We start from the raw sequence: 26,340 nt of genomic DNA, 5'->3' as shown, positions 1-26,340 counted from the left end.
TTAATAACTGTTAAGCTTTATTATATTAAAGGTGTGCCAATATTTTCCTTTGTGTGGAAAAATATTATATAGCTTTAGAACTAAATGTATACTTGGAGATTTAACCATTTTTGTTTTTGTTTTGTTTTAGTCAAATATTGGAGATAATGTCAGCAGTGAGAGATGAGGATCCACTGGAATTAGCCAATACACTATATAACAATACTATTAAAGTATTTTTTCCTGGAATATAATTGGTATATGTCTTCCACTTTCCATCATGTATGTAAAATTTCATAGTAAAACTTCCTGATAGTTTCAATAAAGAAATTATCTGCAAGTTGTCTAAAGAAATACTATATATCGGTACACACCATTCCCCACCATTCCCCTTCTTTTTCTCGTAAAATCAGATCAGGATGTTTTTATATCATTGAGTATCTTAGTTTAAAACAATTTAAAAAAAACTATTTTTGTTTTGTAATATCTTCAAAAGAATGAAAGGACAATTTTATGACAATACTGCAGACACAGAATGGCTAACAAATATACAATTTTACATAAAAAACATTTAGCACATTCTGGTTTATATCAAAGTTTAGTTGATACAGTTTATTTGTCAACCCTCAGTCTCTCTCTGAATCAGGACTTTCAAACTCAGCTCAATTACACTGCTACTCAAGTTTCAAAAAAGGTCCTCAGTTGCTTCTGGCAGCTAATTTTTTCTTTAGTTTTAAAATACTCTCTCATGTCCTTTATCCTCTGGTCAAATTATTTTATTTCCTTGACTTTAATGTGGTTTCCTGATTTGCATTTTCATTCTCCCACCCATTTCTAAAGAAAAACTGAGGTCCAAAGTTACATTATATAATTTCATTGAAGAATATTTGGCACAGGTGACGCACCATATGATCATTACATCTATTAAAAAGCTATTTGTTCAAATTTTGTCATAAAAATGTGAAAACATTTTATTCTATGTACAATAATGTACACAAATTTAAACAGGTCACCAAAGAGACCAGAAGTAATTAAAGAGGTATATTTACAGTAGCACATCACAGTAAACGGAAAACCATTCACAGATTCAACATTGATACTGTTTTTGTGCTTGGTTACACACTGAAGGTGAAGGATATTACTCCATTTTGGATGAACTGAATTTTAAACAAATACCTCAATCATTAATAAATGCTATTTTCATCAGTCAGTATCATCATTAAATTCTTCAGCTGCTGCGCCTGTGTGCTGAATCACTCCATTTCTTTCTCTTTGAACATCATCATCACAATCTGTACTGTCATCTTCGTTCAATTCCCTGTCAGATTCAGCAGCAGCTTCTCTTACAGCTTCCTCTGGAGTTTCATTGGGTGGAATAAATCCATTGTTGTTAGATACATTTGAATTATCCTTGATATCATCTTCGATGTATACTTTCTGATGGCACATTGGACAAGTATCTTGAATGTACAGCCATTTCCGAAGGCAAAGTGCATGGAAATAATGATTACACGGTGTAATACGAGCAGATGTTGTAAACTCATGATAGCAGATTGCACATACATCATTTATTTCTTGTAAGCGGCTCCCTTTTATTTCAGGAAGTGAATTAATTTTCTTCACAGCAGTCCTACGATTCATAAATGTCTTCCAGCCATTTTTGGCTTGTAAGTAGATGTTAAAATATGCATGTAGGCACATCATAAAAGCCCGAATTTTACTTCCCGACTCAAACATCATAGTGTAAGCCCCATTTCCAAACATTACAACTCCAAATATAAATTCAATAATACTGCCTGTTGAACGAACGTAGTAGACATAATCGTCAAGCTTTTCCCAGAGGACATTATAGTAGCCATCAATCATGAATAACGTATAAACAGTGAGAGAAACAATTACTTTTAAGCACAGTTCCACACAAAATGCTGTAACTGCAAACAACCATGTATTTAGTGCATAGTGATGCCAAAGAACATAACTGAGTAAGACAGGAAGAATAAACAGGCAAGCAGAGACAAACAGCACAGGAAAATGTCTACGAAAAGATGACACATGAGAGGCACTGAGAGACATTAATACAGGGTCTGTCATTCCATGGATAAAATGCAGGACTGCAGTTAATAAAAGGCACATGTTTCTACTTAAGCGAATAAGTCTCTCTTCTGGTCTTAGCCCACTTAACCCAGTCTGAAGAGCCAAAATAAAAAATAAAACAGGTGCAACAAAGCCAAGACGCCTGTCATCTTCCTCAGTTGATCCAATAAAGGCCAATATTCCAAGCCCCAAATAATGGGCTACTGAGGAAATTACAGCACTCATGCCCAGTACAGTTAGTGTAGAATCGCACCCACTAATTATAAGATTGCAAATGAGGTCCCAAAAATCATCCCAAGAAATAAAGAAGGAATCAGTTTCATTTGCCATCCTTAAGATGTACATTAACACTGTAGCCTGAGCTGTAACTCTTGTTAGCCAAAAGACTCGTAGTATGTCTGGGAAACGAATCCTCTTCCATGTGTCCTCCATCAATAACTGTAATCCGTAAATTCGATACATGTGCCTCACCAAAAGATAAACATATCGTGTGGAATAATAAAACCACTTCAGTTTCACTGCCAGGACAAACACTGTATTTAATGTGAGAATCAAGGAAGAAGTAAACAGTAAAGTCTCTCTGATGTGTAATGGTAGCTCTGTGATTAAGCCTATTACAGGAACCAAGAGATCCAAAATAATTAATTGTGAATAGATGGAATGAATCTGGAGTAGTGTAACGTATCCAATTCCAAATGTTAGCTGTAGAACGATAAGTGCCATCCACAGCGAGGGACCTTTTCGAGGAAGCAGCTCAATTCCAAAAGCTGACGTGTTGTAGGCACCATAGAAGTCAATGTGCAAAGAAGCATAATAATTCACCAACACTGAAGTTGCAGCTAACAGAAAGGCTGAGCTGTACGTGTAAAACTTGAAAAGTGATCGTTGTGACAAGATCAGAACAATACTGGATGCAAATACACCTAAAAGAAAGAAAGAAAAAGTCATTTGAATGAAGTATTTGTAAGAATGTTTCCCCACTAAGAGTTATGATATTCTTCCTTTAATTAGGAAATATGAATATTTTCAGTTATGAACATTAAGCCTCAAGACAACTAAGGCTTAAAGGGTAATAAAGGTTTTGTAAAGTCAGAGTTCAGGAGAACAGACCAAACATACTAAATTATTCTTTAAAATTTCATTCCTTACTTTCTAATTTCCAAAGTATTTCAAGTAACACTGTAGCTGTCCAAGGCACCAAATTACTAAATTATTTTCAAGATGAATTTGTAGTGGTACATACATTTTAACAAGTTTTAAAACTCAAAAGAATATGTCTTTTATCATTTCATAATCATTAAAATTAATTTTAAAAATTGGGTTAAAAATAACCCAAATGGAAAACATTTATTCCTATTAAGTTTTAGATTCATTTATTATTGACTGACTGAGACAAGAGTCTCACTCTGTTGCCCAGGATGGAGTGCACTGGTGCAATCTCAGCTCACTGCAAATTCTGCCTCCCAGGCTCAAGCAATTCTCCTGCCCCAGCCTCCCAAGTAACTGGGATTACAGGCACCTGCCACCATGCCCAGCTAATTTTTGTATTTTTAGTAGAGACGGGGTTTCACCATGTTGGCCAGACTGGTCTCTAACTCCTGACGTCAAGTGATCCGCCCGCCTTGCCTCCCAAAGTGCTGGGATTACAGGCGTGAGCCACCGCACCCAGCCAAGTTTTAGATTTTTTTTTAAAGGATTCTTTAGGAAATCAAGTTCAAGTTTTATACTTCCACTTAATTCCTCCTTTTCTTCAAACTGTGAACTCATGCCAGCTCTTATTTCCTACTCCTTAACTCTGAGCATTCTCCAAAGGGTCCAAAATTCCATTTTTTTTCCTCCTAGTTTCCTTCGGACTTAGAAACATCTTCCAAGTTCCCTTTTTCCTGTATAATGCTGAATCTGTTTCTTAAAATAGTCAACTCTTTTTATTGTTCTTCACATTACAAAAGTAACACTCAGAAAACCAAGACATGTTTTTAGAAAATGGTAATTCTCCTTCCCCCACTCCATAGACACCATCTTTCTTTGTACTCTGACAGAAATGCATATTTTAAGTAGGATTACAATAAACACATTATTATCCAAGGTTTCAACAATGGGAATGACATCTGAATACTCACCTACTTTCACTCCTACAACTGCAAATCTCCAAAGTTCTGAAACTCGACTTGCCTTAAACTAGAATCAGCTTTTCCTTGTGATTTGCTATTTCAGTTGAAGGTACCATTATTGTTCTTTTAGAGATACTCCCAACCCAGCCCCACATGCTCAAACTTTGCCAATTAGTTGCCAAATTCTTCTAACACCTCTATCTCCCTTTTCTGTGACACCAATCAATCAGTCTGTCTCAAAAAACCCTCATCTTGTCCAAATCCATTTACAAGCCATCACCAAATTGCCTTTCTTCATTCCCTGCTCAAAATACTTCAGCGGCTCTGAAATTACTATCAACTAAAATCTACATTCTTGCTCCTGGCATTCAAGAACCCAATTTGCTTTACAGTAATATTCCTCCTAACACACACACATCAGTGCTCCAGACTTGGATTCCCCAAACACATTCCTTTCTCCACTATAGCTACAGCAGTGTTTACATTCTTTTTGCTTGGAATGATGTCCCCAACCTCCCAATCCCTGACTATTCAAATCCTACCTATCCTAGAAACCTACTTTCTTTGATAGAAACTGTTCTTTCAGCATACCTGCAGAACTTAGTGAAACATTTAACACTCATATATCACCTGATATTGTAGTCTGCAGTTATCTAAGTATAATCTACCCTATTACACATGTATCTATAACAGAAAGCAAAGATCCTACCCTGTCCATCTATGGATTCTACAATATTTTGTACAAAATAAGTACAATTAGTATTCATTAGGAAATGTCTGTCACATCTGGATGTTTTTAAAGGCAACCACAAAATATAGCCTGCTTGAAAAATAAAATCTATGTTTCAGACAATGAGAAACCATACCCTGGAGTACAGAAAAAGTGACAAACTCCAAATTAAAAATCCATCTTGGCTGGGTGTGGTGGCTCACAATGGTAATCCCAGCACTTTGGGAGGCTGAGGCGGGTGGATCACTTGAGGCCAGGAGTTCAAGACCATGTCAACATGGTGAAACCCTGTCTCTACCAAAAATATAAAAATATGCCAGGGTGGTAGCACGTGCCTGTACTCCCAGCTACTCAGGGGGTTGAGGTGGGAGAATCGCTTGAACCCGGGAGGCATTGCAGTTAGCTGAGATCGCACCACTGCATGCCAGCCTGGGTGACAGTGAGACCCTGTCTCAAAATACATAAATAAATAAATATTAAATAAAATAAAAATCCATCTATCCACCTTATTTCAGCAGGTAATCAAGACATTGCATATTATTACAGTAGACGCATTTCACAATCCACTGCACATATAAGCAAGGGCTAGTTCATTTAAGTGATGACTCTGTCCAGGGATTTAAAATGTATTCTGTGCCAAAATGTCAAGTCATCTGTGAAAAGGAAAACAAAAGGACACAATAAAGTAGAAGACATATAAACCTCTAAATACAAACCACCTGATTCCCCAAGAAAATGGGCCACTAATAATCCCCCAAAGAGTTGTGAGCTCAGAACAGGCTCTTTTAAATATATATATTTTTAATATATATATTTTTAAATATATATATATTTAAATAATATATATATATTTTTAATAGATATATTTTTAAATATATATATATTTAAATATATATATATATTTTTAATATATATATTTTTAAATATATATATATTTAAATAATATATATATATTATATATATATATATTTTTTTTTATATTTTTTTTAATGGAGTTTCGCTCCTGTTGCCCAGGCTGGAGTGCAATGGCGTGATCTTGGCTCACTGCAACCTCTGCCTCCCAGGTTCAAGCGATTCTTCTGCTTCAGCCTCCCAAGAAGCTGGGATTACAGGTATGTACCACCACTCCCAGCTAATTTTGCATTTTCAGTAGAGACAGGGTTTTTCCACGTTGGTCAGGCTGGTCTCAAACTCCTGACCTCAGGTGATCCACCCGCTTCGGCCTCCCAAACTACTGCGATTATAGGCGTGAGCCACTGCGCTCGGCCCTGAAAAGATTTTTTTATTAGAAACTTCTTCCATGGAAGGTAACAAGAAAATGGAATTAATTCAGCCTACCAGATGCCATATGTAATCTTACATTCTCTACATGGAAAACCACCTTATTTTCCTGAGACAAAACTTCAGAAACTTTAAAACAAATCTTCTAAGTTGGGTCAAAACCAAAACAAAATAACTCTAGTTCTACTTTATGCCACTTAGAGGGGAGAAAGTCAAGCAGGAACTGTAAATTATTTTTGTCAACTTGCTATTCACAAAGTAGTAAATTAATCTTCAGTAACTATTCATGAGCTTTGCCATAATTTTATAACTAATTTTTAAAATTCTAATAACTTTTTTCCTGAAGCTTGTTTTTACTACACACAAATGAAGAAATTATTTGGGTTTTAGAAACATTTCTAGTGAAAAAGTGCCATTTTGCTTTATGCAAATGTATCAAAGAAAAAAAGGGGAAGGCATCAGATAGACAAATAATGTAGTAAGACTACAACCTCAAAATTTGGATGTATCCCAGCAAGTAACAATCTGACAATACTCTATCCTGATTAAAATCACACCCCCCAAGATGTAATAGTGAGTTAACATTTCAAGAATAGTATATGTTTGTTTTAATTCCTACCCAAAGTTTGTAGGTATATGGGGTTCATAGATTTTCCTTTTATAGTCACGTTCCTACCTATGGAATTTGGGAAGAATCTGCTCTCATTTTAAAAACCAATATCCTAAGTAACAAGTCTCCAAAGTAATCATCTTTCTCATGGCCTTTGCAGAATAATATCAAAGTTTCACTGCATTTTTACATTAGACATGAAAGCCTTTCTTGGTATTTAAACTGTAGGTCTAAGAAAATATAAAAGTCCAGAGACAGTTTCTCATTAGGATTTGGAAGTGACTTGCACAAGTAATCAAGACTGTATATAAATGCTGCTTTATAAAAAATTTTGAGAACAGAATTTACTGAAATCACAACTCAGAGATCTCAGTCCAATTCTCCAGTGATTAAGAGAGTTCACTAGAGTTTTCAAGGTAGCCAAAAAGAGGCAGGTATCCAAATCAATTCAGGAACTTTGAAACTATATATGAACTCAACTCATGAAAGAGTTCAGGCCTTTTCAATTTGGATTACCAAAAACAGGCAAATAAAAACAAAAGAAAAAATAAAAACTTACTATACATGTTACATAACAAAGTGTTTCACTCTTTTATGTGTAAAGTCTATTCATACCCTTACCCTCTTTTGGAAACTTATGACTAAAAATCAGGGTACAAAACATAATATTTACAATTCTCCAAGTACCCGAAATACCTCTAAAACAAAAAGCAACCTGTGGAAAAACATTTCAATACCTGACAGAATAAATATGGAAAAGCACAGAAATAAATGTTACTACTACCTTACTCCCAAGGGAGCCTTCCGCAATGAAGTTTACAACAAAGTGTCTTGAAATGTTGTTAATCTGTTGGTATACTTGATAAATTATAAAGAAAACATTTCTATTGGATTCTCATTTTAGGTTGAAAAAAAACCTGGTATTCTAAGTATTAACACAAAATTAAACTTTTGCTTTTAAACTAAACTTATAATAAGTATGCTTTTATCAAAAATATATGAACATGGATTTTAAAAAGCCAAACCCTACAGAGAGGTGTTAAATGAAGAGTTAAAGCAAGTTTTTCTAGTTTGTCTTTCCCATCTGTGATATCATAAAAAAAATATTAATATTTGGTCTTTGTCCCATTTTCTGACATAGCTTCTAAAATCCTTGGAATCTCTGGAGTGATGACTGTTTTGTACAATAATCAGATGACTGGTGCCTGGGGGCCCCTAGATAGCTTCAGGATGGGGGCTAGGTAGCCAGGGGAATCAGCCCAGTGATTAAGGGTTATAACTTTGATTCCTACCCCCAGCCGCCACTTCTGGGAAGAAAGAAGCTGAAACTTGAGTCCATAAACCAATGACTAGTGATCTAATCAATCTTGCCTATTTAATGAACTTCCATAGAAGCCCAAAAGGACTGAGTTCTGTGAGCTCTCAGATAGCTGAACACTGAAGCTCCACGCCCCTTCTCCTCTTCTCTCCTTCTTTGTCTCACCTTGTACATCTCCTTCCATCGGGTTAATTCATCTGTGTCCTTTGTAATTGCCTTTATAATAAATGGGTAAATGTAAGTACAGTAGTTCCCCCTTACCCAAGATTTGACTTCCTTTTTTTTTTTTTTTTTTTTTTAGTGATGGAGTCTCGCTCTGTTGCCCAGGCTGGAGTGCAGTGGTGCGATCTTTTGATTAACATAGGTTTTTAACCTCAATATCATTCGGTTTATCAATCTTCATTATGTATTTGCTTTTATATATTTTTAAGGATTTCTTCCTTAATCTAAGATTGGAAAAATAAAATATTCCATATTTTTTTCTAAAAATTTAAAGTTCTGCATTTCATATTTACATATACATCTAGGTAAGAATACACTTAGAAATGACTATTTTTTTTTTTTAAGAGACAGGGTCTTGCTCTGTCACCCAGCCAGGCTGGAGTGCAGTTATGCAATCATAGCTCACTTGCAGCCTTGAACTCCTAGGCCCAAGCGATCTTCTCACCCCAGCCTCCTGAGTAAGATAGGACTACAGGCACCCACCACCAAGTATGGCTATTATTTTAAATATTTATTTTTGCAGAGACAGGGTCTCACTACACTGCTCAACCTAGAAGTGACTGTCTATATATTGACATAAGGTAGACATCTAGTATAATTTATTTCCAAAGGTGTAACAAAATGATCATTAATTCAACAGTCCATATTTACCTCAATGTACTTCAATTCTATCTCTGAAACACATTATTTCTATATATACATTGGTGTCTGTTTCTGGGCTATGTAATTATAAATAAGGCTAAGTACTAATCTATTTGTCTATCCCAATGGTTCTCAACCATGATTTGGCAATATCCAGGGACAGTTTTGGCTGTCACACTGGGGTGTGGGGGTGCAAGGTGCTACTGGCATCTAATGGGCAGGGGATAGTGATGCTGCTAAAAATCTTACAGTGCACAGGAGAGCTCCCATCCGCAAACAAAGAATTATCCTGTCCAAAATGTCAATACTGCCACTGTTGAGAAATCTCTGTCTATTCCTCTGCCAGTGATAATTACTTCGGCTTTGTTTTTTCACTTCAGAGGTTTTCTGAAGTCTTTTTCGGCACCAAAAATAGCTATCTCATTTCTTTCAAGAACTTTATTGCATGGCTAGACCTAATACAATGAACAGATTTGTATCAATACATATTTAGATTAAGTTTGTTGCTTTGTTATTTCCAGTAATGCTTGCCCATAGTCCTTAAGCAAACTATCTCTCTAGGCCAATTCCCTAGAATTGAAATTGTGAGTCAAAAGTTGTACGAGCCAGGCATCCCAGCTACTTGGGAGGCTGAGGCAGGAGAATCGCTTGAACCTGGGAGGTGGAGGTTGCAGTGTGCTGAGATCACGCCACTGCACTCCAGCCTTGGTGACAGAGTGAGACTGTCTCAAAAACAAAACAAAACACTGAGAAGTCAGTTGTAAATGACAGTTGATACTGCCAAATGGTTTTACACTGAAATTAAGAGTCTTCCGGGCCAGGCACGGTGGCTCACGCCTGTAATCCCAGCACTCTGGGAGGACGATGTGGGCAGATCACCTGAGGTCGGGAGTTGGAGAACAGCCTGACCAACATGGAGAAAACCTGTCTCTACTAAAAATAGAAAAAAATTTGCCGGGGGTGGTGGCGCTTGCCTGTAATCATCCTAGCTACTCGGGAGGCTGAGGCCGGAGAATCGCCCGAACCTGGGAGGTGGAAGTTGTGGTGAGCCGAGATCACGCCATTGCACTCCGGCCTGGGCAACAAGAGCAAACTCCGTCTCAAAAAAAAAAAAAAGTCTTCCAAAATTGTATAAATTTACCTATTTCAAAAAGGTAAATACCTTTGCAAAACTAATAAAACTTTGAACTCTTCACCAATCTGATAAATTTTTTTTGACTTTTTTTTTTTTTTTGAGACAGTCTCGCTCTATCGCCCAGGCTGGAGTGCAGTGGCGCGATCTTGGCTCACTGCAACCTCCACCTCCCCGATTCGAGAGATTCTCGTGCCTCAGCCTCCACAGTAGCTGGGACTATGGGCAGGAGTCACTGCACCCGGCTAATTTTTTGGTAGACACGGGTTGTGCCATTTGGCCAAGCTGGTGTCAAACTCCTGGCCTCAAGCAATCTGCCTGCCTCAGCCTCCCAAAGTGCTGGGATTATAGGCGTGAGCCACCGTAAGCGGTCTTGACAGTATTTAATTATAAACAAGGCTAGGTACTTTTTTTTTTCCCCCATAAAATCAAGCTACTGCAGGAAGGGCTAAATACTTTTTCTCTTGCTTATTGAACATCTGCATTTTGTTTATTGTGAATTGCTTGTCTTAGGCATTTTCCTAAGGGAGTATAAGTTTTTTCTTGTTTTGTTTTGTTTTTTTTTTTAGACAGAGTCTCACTCTATCCCCAGGCTGGAGTGCAGTGGAGCGATCTCGGCTCACTGCAACCTGCAACTCCCTGGTTCAAGCGATTCTCCTGCCTCAGCTTCCCTGGCAGGGTAAAACTCTTACTGGAACGTGAATCACTTATGATAGAAGTATTTTATCTCAGTTTGTCATTTAAGGATTCTTTTTTAAGCTTTGCCATAAAAAAGCTTTTTATTTTTATGTACTGAAATTTTTCAGATTTTTCCTTGGAACTTCTGGGTCTTCTGTTATGTTTAAAGCCTTTTCCCACCTCAATGAATTATCACCATATTAGTAATACTATTAAAACAAACTCCTAGGCTTGCATTTTCTGCCTTGGATTTAAATTTGCTAACTCAGCATTATGCTGCTCTGGGTTGAGTTTCGTTTAGTATTTAACATCCCTTAAAACACAGCTTTATGTTCTTCAATATTCCATATATTGTCATAGAATTTTATTTGGATCTCCAAAATGAGTTGCTTTATTTTCTAACCGGTTGAAATCTCAAATTAGTTTGATATCAAATGAAGGTACAGTTGTAGCACCATTTTGTAGGTAGAGGGGAGTAAATACTTCTACCACCACACATAAAACTGGTAATGCTTTTTACTTAGAGATTTCCATTTTTACACATTAATTTTAAAGAAAAAAGTGAGGTTGACAAGTGGTAAGACTTATACACAGTAGTACTGAGAAGTCTACAACTACAAAAAAACTAACAAGGCAGAACGATTAATTTCAACTATCCATTGGCATATTTACACACAAACCTGTGTCTTTTAGTAACATAATTTTTTAGCACCGAAATCAGTTTTTTTCATTCTTATCATCCTTACAAATGTGAAAAATTAGCATAATTACATGACACAGTAAGAAGAGTCGGATGATAGATTTGAAGAGTATTTCGTATTTCTCAAAGTCTGATCCAGAGATTCCAGGGATCAAAATTTTCAAATAAACAACACCAATATTTTGCCGATGATTTCAAAAGACCAAAATATCTAACAAAATATGGTATTAAATGAAGCATTAAAATAGATTTATTGTCTTTAACACCCTATGAAACAGATAACCTCACTCTCCATCTTTTAAAAGGTAAAAATAAGAAACCAAAGCACTGAGCAGTTGCCTTAAGTCATGTTGTTCTTTGTCAAACACAAACTTCCAAGATTTATTACAAAAGAAACATGCCTAGTACAAGGAAAATATCAGATTGCTTTGTTCAATGTTCTTACACTACAAATTATTTAATTAAAGAAAATACTTCTTTTCCTTGAAGCTGCCTAACCTGAAGCTCAACAGACTACTGCATTAAAGCACCAGGTCCCAAAGGGATTCTCACAGAATCTGCAGTTATCATGCTGTAAGAATATTCAAAGCAGTCACTACACTGTTTCTGGGATGAACATGCAGAATCCTCTCAAACAGAGCCCAGTTTTTAACACAAATTATGGTGGTGGTATACGTTAGCAGTGGCAAGTAGGAAAGGCTGGAATTAGGTAGCAGGTGGGTTACTGAAGCAGCTTGGGCTGAACATCACGTTTACATCTTTAGTTTTAAGATCTAGCATATGATCATTACTACTGCATTCTGTATCTGGATTGCAGCTGTTAGGGAGGAAAGTAAACCATATTTAATGTCAAAAGATTTTTAAGCTCAGGCTCTGGCAACCACTTAGCGGCAGCCTACCAAGAGCAAAACACTTAACCTCTATGACCCTGTTTCCTGGTTTGTAAAATGACAATACCACCACCCACCTCTGGGGGATGTTTGAAGGTTAGGTTAGATAATACCTACCAGTGAAAATGCTTTGCAAAAGGAAAATACCAGATAAATGTAAAATATGGCTATTTATTGCTAAGAACAAAATTCGGCCTTTATTGCCACTCCTCTTTTGAAGGAATAAAGCAACAGATGGCTTGTAATTCAGAAAGGCTTGGTAAAGACCTCACCATCAGTCTGCCCTCAGCAACACTTCAAAAGCACTAGCCTACTTAAGACCGATCACCAGAATTACCTCATCAACAAAATTTGCCAAGTTACAATTACTTAAAAAATTATTTTACGCATAAATGCATCTCCCTCTGATGATGTAAGTGAAGATGGAAAGGAAGAAATGAAATATAAGATACTTTTAACACTCCATCCATACGAAACAAAGACAATGATTTTCAGAAGTCTCTTTGGCAAATGTCTCATCACTTTTTACAGTCACTTTCAATACCTTCTCGTTTATTCATGGAAAATTTTAGGACTCGATTTAAGCATCGCCGCTTTCATGAGAATTTTTGGTAATGGTTTCAAGGTCTGACATTCAAAACCCTGTCTCCTTCGCTTGGATGTCATTTACTGCAGACACTTCACGATCCTGTGGACCCTCGGGTGCAGCAGAAGTGACAACATACAAGTACTCGGCATTTGGTAATAAAGGGAAACTGAGGCCCACGCCTTGGCAGAAGTCCAAGGTCACACACGACGAGACTGGGATAGCAGAGTTGTTTTTCGAAGGCTGTCGCATAGGACGCGGTAAGCCAGTACTCATTTCCCAAGGCAAACGGGCAAAGAGCTGCATGCTCACACATCCTTACTTTCTCCCCACCTCACTCAGGTACAACACTGAATCCTCGCTAGGGGGACTGCTCCGCTGTCAACTCAGACAAGTATCATCTCCTTCCCCCTCCCAACCCGTAAAGACGACCCTTTGAGGGATGAAACTGTAGTTCCCAAAGACACATACTCGACCCATGGCCTCTGCGCGCCTGCCCGCTCCCCGGGGAACGTCTCGGCCCGCATAGCCGTCCCGGGACGTACGGTACCCTGTTCCCTTACCAAAGAGCCGGAGGAAGATCTGGAGCACGATGCAGAACCGGCTTTGGCTGGAATCCGGGTAGGAGTTGAAGATGGCGTCGATGATGTAAAGGCAGGGCACCCGGAGCGCCACTTCGAGCGCCGCCCAGACCTGCTGATGGGCCATCCGCACCTGCTGCTGCGGGGGCCCCACGGCCGCCATGAGCCGCTGCCACACCAGGGCTCGGTGGGCCGGGCAGGGCCGCGCGGGGCAGGGCCCGGGGCCGCGGCCGGGGGCGGGGGCTAAGGCGGGCAACTCCGCCCCTGCCCTCCTTCCTCTCCTGTCTCTCTCACGGCCAGCCCCGCCGCCCGCTCGCGTCCCTCGAGGTGGAGCAGGCGGCGGAGGCAGCGATGGCCGAGAGGGCGGCGGCGGCGGCTCCCCAGGAGGTCTCTGGGTTTCGGTGTTTCCGGCTGGCTAAGGTCTGACTCCTCCTCCCTCCACTGCCTCCCCCGCCCGCGGAGCCACCATCTTGACCTCGCCCGCTGGCCTCTGCCGTTGCTGCTGTGGCTAGGCCCGGAGGCTGCGCCGTCAGTCAAGCGAACCGCAGAGTCCGCGCCCACTGCCTGCGTCATAATCCAGCGTCATAATCCAGCGCTAGAGACGCTCCCCATGTCGTCATCACCCATGGTTGCCATGGTTTCCGCCCACCTCCTCAGCTTACTCTAGCTTCGTGCCACCCCGTGGCGCATGCGCTTTTCGGTAGCCGCGCTTTCCGGCGTTGGAGTTGCAGCTTCACCCTCGCAGATTCGGCTTAGCGAGCGAGTCGGTGCTTCCGCGGATCAAAATTATTAGCCGTTTTATTAGAGCCCATTAAACGTTGCATAAACATGGTTCAGAGCTGCCTGGGAGAAGAAAAGCCAAAGGATGCCACCCTCTCGATTTATCCCACCCTCGGGAGTCTGAAAGCCGACGCCAGGAGAAATCCCGCGAAGGCCGCCCGGGATCCTGGTAGAGGCGACGCTGTGTGCGTTTATGGAGCGCTTGCGGTGCGTGGCACTAGGCTGGGTGTGGTGGGTGCTGCCGAAAAAAGGGTTCCTCCCATCCATTTGCACGTCACCCTTCCCACCTCCTGCCCAGATGGACAGAAGTGAGGACATTCATCGGCCGCATTTTACTAATGGCAAGGAGATAGCGACTGAAGGGCAAGAACCTAGGGTTTCCTGTCTTTGATATTTCTCATCTTTGAGGTAAGTACACCTGGACAGTCCCTTCCTTCCTCCTCAGGGCTCATGCTTTCTTGCCTATCCGTGTAATTAATATGATCTGGCTATCTTTGTCTTTGTTCCGAAACTTCAGCTGCAAATGAAAGTGTAAGTTAGGTCTGAGTCTGCACTATAGACCTAGCTATCCTAGGTTAAAGGGGATAAAATAGGAATCAAGAAGCCTGGCCCGCTTGGGCTCCCAGCTCAAGTGCATTCTGCAATCCAGTTTATATTAGGCCTCCATGTGGGTGGCTATCCTTTATCAAGATCCCCCCCAGGGGGAGGAGGATTATTAGTCACATTATCAAACTCCCCTCCAACCCCTTTCTCTGCTTAGAGGTATGTGTAATGTGTAGTAGAAAGACCGAATCCCCACCCAAAAGTCCTTACTGCTACTCATGTTTTTAACCTTCTGTTCTTTACCCTACTCCCTAATAATGACCGCCATCATTTATCTACTGCTTAATGGATACTAGGCACTGTGCTAAGGGTTTTATGTTTTACTTCAATCTTTTCATCGGCTTTATTTTGATAGTTTGTTTTATAGAGGAGGAAACAGACTTAGGTAAGTTACAAGATGACAAGGTTACTACCTTGTTCAGTTAGTAGTCAGCAGCTAGTATATCCAAAGATAGTACGAGTCAGAACTAGGATTATAAACTCAGGGCTACCTGAAACTCACAACTTCAGGCATCTTTGATTTCTTCTTTTCACCCACAGCCAATTCTTCAACTAAATTGTATCCATTCTGTTTTCACCGTCTCTTGTACTGGTCTCCTTTCTATTGTAACTGTCATCATCCTAACTCAAGATCCTTCTGTAGCTTTCCCCGGTTATTGGAATATCCTTATTACGACTGCCACCTTTTCTAATCCAGTCTGTTTACTACTGCCGGGTTAATTTCCCCAAACTGCATGTCTGGGGAATAACCTTGTGGTTATGACAGAATTCCCAAAGGAAAGCAAACTTGGCAAGGTGCAAAGACTATGAAGACTTAGAACTTAAGAGTTCTATGGAGATCTTCAGAAATATAAATTAGCTACTCAACATATCTGTTATTCTGCCCTGATTGCACTGTAAAGCAAAAGGAGAGAGGCCATTATGGGGAAAAAGATCCAAAAGGACTCATCTAAAACACAAGTTGGGTAGAGGAGATAGGTGAGTACTATTATATTATGTTCATGGAAAATGAGTTCATGGGCTTTCCTCTAATTTTTATTTTAAAAATAAATGTAAATATTAAATAAAATTTTTTAAATGAACAAATGCTTCAGTCTTTATTAATGTTTTAACTGTCCCTGATCTTAATTTGATGTACAAATTTTATTAGTGTAAGAGTTTCTTTGACTAAATTCCATCTTGGGCCGAGAACTTTCAGGAGCGGTGGCAGTCTTTTTTTTTTTTCACACAGCTTCTCCAAGCAGGCTCTCTGCCAAACTTGTCCAACCCACCTTATTTTGTTACTGTTGTTGTTCTGTTTTGTTTTAGGCTGTTAACAGCCTGAAGCCATGGTTTTTAGTTTCTGTTTCTAGTGATAAGCGGAAAAGAGAGATGAGGAGGTATTTACTGACCCAACCAGAAGCGGAAACTAAGAACCCATGACTGTATTATCTCCCTTGGACACCCCTGTGTGAGCTCTCTTTCTCCATCTATAAAATGAAGGTTTGAATGAGGTCCTGGCAACTGTGTTAAAATACTACGTTAAAATTAAATTTATAGTAATGAGGTAATTTATAGGATGCTTAGGAATTTTTAAGATAAAAGATGTTTCCAGCTGGGTGTGGTGGCTTATGCCTGAAATCCCGGCACTTTGGGAGGCCAAGGAGGGTGGATTGCTTGAGCCAGAAGTTCAAGACGAGCCTGTCCAACAAGGCAAAACTATATCTTTACAAAAAAATTGTAAAAATAGCTGGATGTGGGCTGGGCGCGGTGGCTCACACCTGTAATTCCAGCACTTTGAGAGGCCGAGGCGGGCGGATCACAAGGTCAGGAGTTCGAGATCAGCCTGGCCGACATGGTAAAACCCCCATGTCTATTAAATATACAAAAATTAGCCGGGTGTGATGGTGGGCACCTGTAATCCCAACTACTTGGGAGGCTGAGGCAGGAGAATTGCTTAAACCCGAGAGGCGGAGGTTGCAGTGAGCCAGGATGGCGCCACTGCACTGCAGCCTGGGTGACAGAGTGAGACTCTGTCTTGGGGGAAAAAAAAATAGCTGGGCATGGTGGCATAGGCCTGTGGTACCAGCTGCTCAGGAGGCTGAGGTGGGAGGATCACTTGAGCCTGCCTTGAGCCTGGGTAGCAGAGGTTGCAGTGAGCCAAGATCACGCCACTGTACTCTAGCCTGGGTGACAGAGTGAGACCCTGTCTCAAAAAAAAGGTAATGTTTCCAAGAAATAGCTACAATTCACTGAATCTAATCTTTGCTTGATTTCTGCATTGATTTGAATGTTGCACAACTCAGGTGTACATTTATATTGAGTCTGCACAGTGTGGTTCATGAGTGTGTGTGTGTGTGTGTGTGAATACACACACACACAAACTGTATACATAGAATACTCGTGTTTGAAAATAACAATCTGTTATAAATCCTTCAGATTTAACAGCTCAGAAAGCCTTTTAGTAGCTTTCAAAACTTTTACAGGTAGGATGTGTAAAAACTAGTTTGAATTTTCTCTTGACATTTGCATTAATGAAGTCTTTGTTTCCTACAACAGAAACTGATTCTTCTGGGTTATCTTAAGCAAAAAGGGAATTTATTAAGGGGTTATTTTCATTATTCCTCAAGATTTCAAGTCCCAGGAGAGACCACCTATATTAGGCCATTCTTGCATTGCTATAAGTACCTGAGGCTGAGTAATTTATAAGAAAAGAAGTTTAATTGGCTCACGGTTCTACAGGCTGTACAGGAAACCTAGTGCCTGCATCTGCTTCTGGGGAGGCCTCAGGAAGCTTTTGCTCATGGTGGAAGGTGAAGTAGGATCAGGCACTTCACATGGCAAAAACAGGAGCGAGGGGGTGGGGATAGGTGTCACACACTTTTAAACAATCAGATCTCATGAGAACTCACTATGGTGAGGACAACACCAAGCCATCAGGGATCAGTCCCCATGACCCAAACACCACCAGGCCCTACCTCTAACTGGGAATTACATCTCAACATGAGATTTGCAGGGGAGATCCAAATTACATCACCATCCAATTGGTCAAGCTTATTGGATCATGTATCTGCACCCTAGCTTCTGTAGTGGGAGGAGGCAGTAGGAAACATGCACTTGGATTTAACCCCTTCACTCCCCACTTCTACTAATATGTATTTTCTTCAAGTGGAAGATAGGGATACTGGTAGGAAGGGTAGTGTCCTAGTCTGTATTCTGTGGTTTATAACAGAATGCCTGAAACTGGGTAATTTATAAAGAAAAGGAATTCATTTCTGGCAGTTAGGGAGGAGGCTGAGAATTTCAAGGTGGAGGGACCACATCTGGGGAGAATCTTGTTGCTGGTGGGGACTGCAGGGATCAGGGGGGCTGAGCATGCCCACTCAGGCCTTTCTTCCTCTTTTTATGAAGCCACCAGTCCCAGGCCAGGCACGGTGGCTCACGCCTGTAATCCCAGCACTTTGGGAGGCCGAGGTGGGTGGATCACCTAAGGTCAGGAGTTTGAGACAAGCCTGGCCAACGTGGTGAAACCCCATCTCTACTAAAAATACAAAAAATTAGCCTGGCGTGGTGGGAGGCTGAGGCAGGAGAATCGCTTGAACCAGGGAGGCAGAGGTTGCAGTAAGCCGAGATCACACCACTGCACTCCAGCCTGGGCAACAGAGCAAGAGTCTGTCTCAAAAAAAAAAAAAAAAAAAAAAAGCCACCAATCCCACTCTTATAGTAACCCATTAATCTATCAACCCATTAGTCCATGAATGGATCACCAGCCCTCATGACCCAATCACTTCTTAAAGGCCCCACCTTTCAGTACTGCCATATTGGGGATTAAGTTTCCAATGCATGCAATTTGGGGGACACATTCCAACCAAAGCAAGTAGGATTGATGGTGAAAATATATGCCATAACTTTTTCTCAGACCCTGGGAATTACTGCAATTGATCTCTTATCCTAAATTACTTTATGGTTTTTCTCTTCTCATTAAAGTAAATTCAGATGTGCCCATCAAAATTCTATTTGAATTTTCTGGTTTTGTAGATGCCAAATAAATAGTAAGAGTTTGTTTTTGCTACTTCTACACTGCTGTGTATGTAGAAGTGGGAATGTAAACTAGTACAACCACTATGGAAAACAGTGTGGAGACTCCTTAAAGAACTAAAACTAGAATTACCATTTGATCCAGGATTCCCACTACTGGGTTATCTACCCAGAGGAAAAGAAGTCATTACATGAAAAAGATACTTGGACATGCATGTTTATAGCAGCACACTTCGTAATTGCAAAAATGTGGAACCAACCCAAATGCCTATCAATCAATGAGTGGATAAAGAAACTGTGGTATAAATATATGACAGAATACTACTCAGCCATAAAAAGGAATGAATTAATGGCATTCGCAGCGACCTGAATGAGATAGGAGACTATTATTCTAGGTGAAGTAACTCAGGAATGGAAAACCAAATATCATATGTTCTCATAAGTGGGAGCTAAGCTATGAAAATGCAAAGGCATAAGAATGACATGATAGAATTTGGGGACTCGGGGAAAGGGTGGGAAGAGGGTAAGGGATAAAAGACTACAAATTGGGTTCAGTGTATACTGCTTGGGTGATGGGTAGACCAAAATCTCACAAATCACCACTAAAGAACTTACCTGTGAAACCAAATACTACCTGTTCCCCAAAAACCTATGGAAATAAAAAATATTTTAAGTTTGTTGCATAAGTTAAAGGAAACAACAGAGAATATAGTGGTATTTGAAGTAAATGTTGAGTATATACTGACTGTGGTTTGTTCATTCAGCAGACATTTACTGAATACTTTCTATGTGCTTGGCAGTATGCTAGCCCTCTTCTGCCTCTTTCTAGTTCTGTGTCTTGAGGCAAAGTATTTAAGCTGTCTAATCTTTAGTATCATTTGGGGAAAAGAATATTGCCACATAAGATATGAAATACATGACATGCACTATCCAATTTAGCCCTCACCAAACTTGTCCAAGGACACAGAACTAATCAGTCAATAGTAGTGGCAGAGCCAGGTTTCTGATTCATATTTTTCTGATTCCAGAGCCTAAGATCTGATCCTCTGCAAGTATGTTCTCTTGCTTTTTTACAAGAATTAAAGCAATACATCTTAAATACCTAGTATAGCATGTAGTAAACCAATTGTAGGAGATACACTCATTGGAACCCCTGTTACTACACACAGCACTTTGCAGTGCACAGCACTTTGCAGTGACTCCATTTATGACTCAGGAGTGCTGTGAAGATATTAGTTCGAATTATTGTATGAAATAAGTAGGACTTAATTTACATTAGAATATGAGTGAATGATAAAATATGTTCATCTTCGGTGACGGTCAAGCATAATCTGAGGACTGAGATACTGCTGAGAGGAAGAATACAGGTAATACTTAAGTTGAAAACATCTGTCAAAGCAGAGAGCCCAGAGAAGATGGCTATAGTATCCCACTGATGGGAAGTATAGGACCTTTCACCTTAGGTGGGATCCTGTAATCCGGGTTTCTGATAATTGCTTCTCATTTCACAGTTACACCCAACTGGATATAATAAAACTTCAAGATGGAAGATTCAGTATTGTAAAGATGTTGACCTATATATTCTATGTAATCTCAATTAAAAAAAAATCTCAGCAGGTTCTTTTTTCCAAAAATCAAAAAGCCAATTTTAAAATTCCTAAGAAACTGGAAAAGGTCAAGAATACCTAAGGCAGTCTTAAAAAACAAAGTTGAAGGATTTATACTGTGAGACATCAGGACCTATTCTAAGCTATAGTAATGAAGACGAGATAGTATTGGTGCATGGATAGAAAAACTGACCCATGGAACAGAACAGAACAGAAAGTCTAGAAAAACTCCACACATATAGGGTCACTTGATTCATTAGAAAAGTGACACTAGAGTGCAGTGGGAAACATGATAAGCCAACAATATAATAGGACTCTGGATACTGCTTAACAAAGGACAGCATATCACTTAATGGTGAAACATGCTGGAAGCATTCTCCCTAAAGTTAAGAGTAAGAAGGTTGCTCACTGTCACCATTACTATTTATCATTGTATTAAGAGGTGGGGGCTGGGAATAAGGCAAGTTAAAATGCTTCCCTGTTTACCAAGATTTAGCTGTTTTTCTCAAATAGAGGCACCTCAGATTATTTCAAGCTTTTAGTTACTTTCTAGAGTTCTGAAAAAGTTGACTGACCATTTTTGCCTGTGTTCTCATTGCTTTTATAGAGAAGCCAGTATTTGGAGATGTTTACCCTGCTGTTTTGGAAGTTGTCCACTTTACTTGATATTGGGACATATCAAGAGACCACTATATGGTCTTGAGTGTAAACTACAGGTATATTCCTTCCTGCCATCATCGTGTAGCAATAACGCTATTTCCTCCTGATGATTGGATTCATTTACCCCAACTAACATGGTGACTCTTCCTTGCCTGCTGGTCTCCTAGCACAAGGACCTTGAACCGGGAAACCTCAGCAAGTTAAAGTTTAAAGGATCTATTATTGTGTCTCTTGATGAAAAGGTTCCTCTCTTGGGAATCAGGACTTCTAATTCACAAAGTTGCGGGGATGAGAAGTCCAAACTCCCCACTTGGGTCACTGGGAGTGAGAGTATGTGGTTATATTAATTTCCTATCACTGCTATGACACTACGAACTTAGTGGTTTCAAACAACACAAATTTATTTTCTTACAGTTCTGGAAGCCTAAAATCAAGATATCAACTGGACTGTTTTTCCTGAAGTCTTCAAGAAAAAGTCTGTTTCCTTGCCTTTTTCAATTTCTAGAGGCTACCTACATTTCTTGGCTCATGGCCCCTTACTCATATCACCCCATCCTCCTGCTTAAGTCATTGCATCTACTAGGCAAATCTGCCTCTCTCTTGTAAGAATCTTTATGATTATATTGGGCCTATTGGATAGTCCAGGATAATCTCTGTATCTTGAGATCATTAACTTAGTCATATCCACAAAGTCTCTTTTATCTTGAAGGTAAAATATTCATAGAATCCAGGATTAGGATCTGAACATATTTGGGGGCCATTATTCAGCCTACTACACAGTAGGAATTCTATTTATATCCTTTCATTCCCAAACATGCATGTTATGTATATATGAGACACAGCACCATAAAATGAGTGTTGATTTAGAGTATATACTGTACCCTGGTGGACAAGGTCATTCCATTTTCACAGGCTATTATCTTCAAGCTTTTGCTTCAGTTTCACCTTCAAAAGGGTTTTTCATCATTCCATCAGACCCGCATTTTCTCGGTTATATAGTATGTGATAGGACTAGTGGATCTCATGGTTATGTACCTGCTGATACACCTCCTTTGCTGTAAAGTGCATCCCTAAATCAAAGGCAATATTACACAGGATACATGTTGATGGATCAAATACCTGTAAACCTGTGAGTAGTAGAGCTGGCCAACAACTTATAGGCAAGGAAGTCAAACTCATACATGCAGATGGGCAGTTTCTAGTCAAGGAGAATCACTGCCCATTCTAGGATGGAAGGAATCCAACATAAATCAATTTGCTGCCCAAGTAGCTGTTTGGTATCCTTGAGGGTTGGTGCTGTATCAGGAACTTGGTGTTTAACACTGGGGAGTGGCTATTTTGTTGTTGTTGTTGTTGTTGTTTTGTTTTGTTTGAGACGGAGTTTCACTGGTTGCCCAGGCTGGAGTGCCGTGGCGCCATCTCGGCTCACTGCAACCTCTGCCTCCTGGGTTCAAGGGATTCTCCTGCCTCAGCCTCGTGAGTAGCTGGGATTACAGGCATGCGCCACCACGGCCAGCTAATTTTGTATTTTTAGTAGAGACGGGGTTTCTCCATGTTGGTCAGGCTGGTCTCAAACTCCAGACCTCAGGTGATCCGCCCACCTCAGCCTCCCAAAGTGCTGGGATTACAGACAGGAGCCACCGCGCCCAGCCTGGGGAGTGGCTATTGGATAAGTGGAGGCTATCTATTGGCTTCTTGCTCACTTGCATTCCTGCAAGATGACTACTTTGTCATAAGCCCCCTGTGCCATTCCTGGGGGCGGAGGGAGGGGGCGGTGGAGCCGATGGTTGTAGCTGCTGAAGTTTACTGGCTAAATCTGTCTACTTGGTTATTTAATGCTGCTTACATGTTGGATTGTCTCTGGCAGATAAAGATTGTGTTATACAATACAAAAAGCCCTCCTTATGTGCCATATCTGATATATTTCTCCTCTGCTTCTCCAGACTTCTTGTCCCTGATATACCAGTCTTATTCCAGACCCCTGATCAACTAGCCAACTTATTTGCCATGAAAATATGTTCTTAGTTCAAGACACTTTCTTTCCACACACAGTTGATGACCAGGAATACTGCCCCACATTATGCCTTTTGGGAGGGTTCTCCTTACTGCTGTCTTTTAAGGCCAGTCCTGTGTGGGGCTGTAGGGCAGTAGCAGTCCATTTTTGTTTTGAACCTATATTCCAAGAAACCTCAGTGAATTCAGCTCAGGCTTTTTTGTCCTCCATAAGCTAGACATGAGAGCCTCCCAAGTGGCCATAATTGTGAGCTGAGGAAGGGACATTGGTAAAGAATCAGATATGACATGGGAGCCTGACCACCTGCCTTTGCCCAGCTCATGATGGGCCTCTCTGGCTACATGGTCACTTGATGTCCATAATCAGTTCTTACCAAGGCACATTAGCATGGATAGAGTTGTTTTTGGGATTTTGCACTGCAGATGGCCCAGCCTTGCCACAGAATGCCAGGAGTCGACCTTGTGATTCTCCCATTGGAGCTTGCCTTCAACTTTCATGGCTTCTTATCACATTTACTCTTGTCCCATAGAATATCCTGAATTGGTCCATGCAACAGGGCTAAATACACCATACCTGCTAGAGAACTTTTACATGCTATGGATCCCACTGAAAACTGGCAGATTTCTATCTCACCCAGTTTACGAGTCAGAACAGTACTGCCAACTTCTGAATTCCCACAGAAGCCTACACAGCTTGGTGTGCTTCCCTGGTGGCAGAATAATTTTGGTGAAATGAGTGGGTGAGATGCAATAATTTGTCCTTTACTGTGAAGGGGATATCTTGGCATTCAAGCAGCCTACTGGGCCCTAAAAGTTTCACTGAGGTAACAGCTTGCTGGGTCTTAAGGATTATTTCCCATCCTCCAGTGTACAGTATGCTAGCTGCTTATTATTCACCTTATCCAGCTAGCATGATGTCATCAATGTGGTAGGTCATTGTGACATTATGTGGGATGTTTAGATGGTCTAGATCTCTTCGGATTATGACGCAGTGTGGAAGAGTTAACATAACCCTAAGCCAATACTATAAATGGGTACTGCTGTCCTATATAAACACAAACTTAATTCTTGTCCAGCACTCTCAGGACCCAGTTCCATACACATGCTCATGGTTCCTGTTGGTACATGTTGGTTAGATCCTGCATCTCTTTGGTCATATAAGCCCATTTGGAATTGAAAGTAGACACACAGAATGAGGGCAAAACACCTGCAGAACAGCTGCTTCATCATGGTGGGCTTTTTTCATATTAGGTTTTGTTACCTTTGAGTTTTTAAATTATGTGTAAAGCTTCGATTAAAAAAATAAAAATTATTAAAAAGAAACTGAGACAGTCTATCCACCTATCTCTATTTACCCAGTGCTGTTGTTGTGTTACATAAAATTCAATTTTAGCTTCATGTTCATGCAATATTTTCGTTTACCCTTGATTCAACCTTGACCTTTAAAAAGCCAAAAAGACAAATACCTATTTTGACACTGGTTCTGATCTCTCTGAAATTCTGTGTGACCAATGGTCAAGTAACCTTGCAGGTTATTTATCATGTCTAATCTGAAAAAAGTCATTGTATTTACTAATATTTTAATATTCACCTTATAGGTAAGCATTCTAAACATGATTGTGGCAAGAAATTCTTATATGCTTTACATGTTGAAATTCTGTGTCAAATGAAGTACATATGTATATTATTGCAAGAGTGAATTTCTTCAGTAATGATTGTGACAGCTAGTAAATTTAAGTAGAAAGTAATTATAAACTTCCAAATACTTTTTTTAAATGGGCAAAATATATGAAACAATGGCCCTGAAGGCATTGGACATAGGCAGTGAAGGATAGTAATCCATGAGAGATGGAATGCAAACAAGGTGAGCAATACAATTGCTCCAACTTGCTGCCTGAAGAAAGGCTTTGGCATGGGGAGAGGGAACCCAGAAGACTCTGTGAGGTGAGGAGATATAAGTGGGAGTCCTGAGAGCCCAAGGCAACTAGAGTTCACAGGGTAGAATACTAGAGAGGACAGAGTGACACAGAGAGAACTCCAGAGATCTGCTGACCATTCTCCTGAAGTATTAAGCTAAATAATGATTAGTACATGCATGAGAGGAAATAACCAAAGGCTTGGCAAAGAACCATCAGAAAGGATTAAAGAAAACAATACTCAAAGCTCACACAGGATGGTGAATGATTCCTGATCCCGTCAGCAAGAGTGGAAAAGATCCTAATTCACAAGGCACCAGTTAGAGTACTAAGAAAGGTCTTGCTTCAATAGCGGGAAAAATTAACCCTCGACTAAATGCTCTAGAATAACCTAACAAAGCTTAAAAGAGAGACCCAAAAACATTCAAACTGTGTCCAAATAACTTAATCATACTCCAGAAGAAAGTTCAAACTGTTTTAGGGATATGAAAATAATCTACAAAGTAAAATTCACAATGGCTGGCATCCAATCAAAAATTACCAGGCATGCAACAGAAAAATACAACCCATAATAAGAAAAATAAAACATTCTGGGCTAGGTGCAGTGGCTCACACCTGTAATCCCAGCACTTTGGGAGGCCAAGGTAGGTGGATGACCTGAGGTCAGGAGTTCAAGACCAGCCTGGCCAACATGGCGAAACCCCGTCTCTACTAAAAATACAAAAATTAGCAGGGAGTGGTGGTGCTCACCTGTAGTCCCAGCTATTCAGGAGGCTAAGGCAGGAGAATTGCTTGAACCCAGGAGGCAGAGGTTGCAGTGAGATTGTGCCAATGCACTCCAGCCTGGGCAACAGAGCAAGACTCCATCTCAAAACAAACAAAAAATAAAACATTCTGTCAAAACTGACTCAGAAATTACAGATGATGAAGATTATTAGACAAGGACATTAAAACAGTTATTATAATTATATTCCATGTATTCAAGAAACCAGAGGAAAGACTGAAGATATTACAGACAATGAAGGTATAAAAAGACCCGTATCAAACTTCTAGAGATGAAAACTCCAATGTCTGAGATGAAAAATATGTTAGATGAGATTAATGGCAGATTAGATATTGCAGAAAGAAAGATCAGTGAACTTGAAGATGCAGCAGTAGAACCTCCCTGAAACAGAGAGAAAAAAGAATAA

General features: G+C 40.0%; 2 protein-coding genes and 1 long non-coding RNA gene across 19 annotated transcripts in view, besides 8 other annotated features; 2 read left to right on the top strand and 1 right to left on the bottom strand.

The window, feature by feature from the left end:
- TATDN1 (TatD DNase domain containing 1) overlaps positions 1-333 on the top strand; it is a 50,595-nt gene extending 50,262 nt beyond the window's left edge. For 14 of the 15 annotated variants that reach the window (NR_027427.1, NM_001146160.1, NM_001317891.1 and 11 more), the window contains one exon: positions 131-333. Coding sequence is in view for 14 of the 15 variants with exons in the window: in NM_001146160.1 (NP_001139632.1) it covers positions 131-233 (103 nt within the window). In the remaining variant the exon portion in view is untranslated. The remainder of the gene's footprint in view (positions 1-130) is intronic. The other variant, NM_032026.4, reaches the window with a different exon arrangement.
- RNF139 (ring finger protein 139) lies at positions 209-13,947 on the bottom strand. Of its 2 annotated transcripts, XM_047421310.1 has the most exons (3): positions 13,537-13,947; positions 5,420-5,567; positions 209-2,996 (listed from the first exon to the last, which is right to left on the bottom strand). In XM_047421310.1, exon 3 carries the CDS (start codon positions 2,794-2,796, stop codon positions 1,183-1,185), a length of 1,614 nt encoding a protein of 537 aa, XP_047277266.1. In that variant the 5' UTR covers positions 2,797-2,996; positions 5,420-5,567; positions 13,537-13,947; the 3' UTR covers positions 209-1,182. The 2 variants fall into 2 exon arrangements, with proteins under 2 accessions (XP_047277266.1, NP_009149.2); NM_007218.4 differs by lacking the exon at positions 5,420-5,567.
- Positions 12,948-13,491: an enhancer, noted in NCBI's record as "H3K27ac hESC enhancer chr8:125487577-125488120 (GRCh37/hg19 assembly coordinates)". NCBI's record gives its function as "activates a minimal SCP1, AML or CMV promoter by ChIP-STARR-seq in naive and primed H9 embryonic stem cells {active_cell/tissue: H9 hESC(naive and primed)}" and the evidence as "EXISTENCE:reporter gene assay evidence [ECO:0000049][PMID:30033119]".
- Positions 13,492-14,037: an enhancer, noted in NCBI's record as "H3K27ac hESC enhancer chr8:125487031-125487576 (GRCh37/hg19 assembly coordinates)". NCBI's record gives its function as "activates a minimal SCP1, AML or CMV promoter by ChIP-STARR-seq in primed H9 embryonic stem cells {active_cell/tissue: H9 hESC(primed)}" and the evidence as "EXISTENCE:reporter gene assay evidence [ECO:0000049][PMID:30033119]".
- Positions 13,670-13,979: a silencer, noted in NCBI's record as "silent region_19513". NCBI's record gives its function as "represses an Ori minimal core promoter by ATAC-STARR-seq in GM12878 lymphoblastoid cells {active_cell/tissue: GM12878}" and the evidence as "EXISTENCE:reporter gene assay evidence [ECO:0000049][PMID:35858748]".
- Positions 14,000-14,329: an enhancer, noted in NCBI's record as "active region_27883". NCBI's record gives its function as "activates an Ori minimal core promoter by ATAC-STARR-seq in GM12878 lymphoblastoid cells {active_cell/tissue: GM12878}" and the evidence as "EXISTENCE:reporter gene assay evidence [ECO:0000049][PMID:35858748]".
- Positions 14,000-14,582: a biological region, named in NCBI's record as "H3K27ac hESC enhancer GRCh37_chr8:125486486-125487030".
- Positions 14,038-14,582: an enhancer, noted in NCBI's record as "H3K27ac hESC enhancer chr8:125486486-125487030 (GRCh37/hg19 assembly coordinates)". NCBI's record gives its function as "activates a minimal SCP1, AML or CMV promoter by ChIP-STARR-seq in primed H9 embryonic stem cells {active_cell/tissue: H9 hESC(primed)}" and the evidence as "EXISTENCE:reporter gene assay evidence [ECO:0000049][PMID:30033119]".
- On the top strand, positions 14,264-26,334 carry RNF139-DT (RNF139 divergent transcript). 2 transcript variants are annotated; one of them, NR_108048.1, is made up of 3 exons: positions 14,473-14,541; positions 14,633-14,742; positions 15,840-16,019. It is a non-coding gene; the product is annotated as an RNF139 divergent transcript (long non-coding RNA). The 2 variants fall into 2 exon arrangements; NR_108047.1 differs by lacking the exon at positions 15,840-16,019 and adding an exon at positions 21,169-26,334 and having other exon boundaries at positions 14,264-14,742.
- Positions 14,670-14,859: an enhancer, noted in NCBI's record as "active region_27882". NCBI's record gives its function as "activates an Ori minimal core promoter by ATAC-STARR-seq in GM12878 lymphoblastoid cells {active_cell/tissue: GM12878}" and the evidence as "EXISTENCE:reporter gene assay evidence [ECO:0000049][PMID:35858748]".
- Positions 16,832-17,333: an enhancer, noted in NCBI's record as "H3K4me1 hESC enhancer chr8:125483735-125484236 (GRCh37/hg19 assembly coordinates)". NCBI's record gives its function as "activates a minimal SCP1, AML or CMV promoter by ChIP-STARR-seq in primed H9 embryonic stem cells {active_cell/tissue: H9 hESC(primed)}" and the evidence as "EXISTENCE:reporter gene assay evidence [ECO:0000049][PMID:30033119]".
- Positions 26,335-26,340: the final 6 nt, after the last annotated feature.

The sequence above is a fragment of the Homo sapiens genome, chromosome 8 (assembly GCF_000001405.40).
Source record: "Homo sapiens chromosome 8, GRCh38.p14 Primary Assembly".
In the NCBI taxonomy this organism is placed as follows: Eukaryota; Metazoa; Chordata; class Mammalia; order Primates; family Hominidae; genus Homo; species Homo sapiens.
Note: the sequence above shows the minus strand (reverse complement) of the source record. Positions and strands in the feature narration are given on the sequence as shown.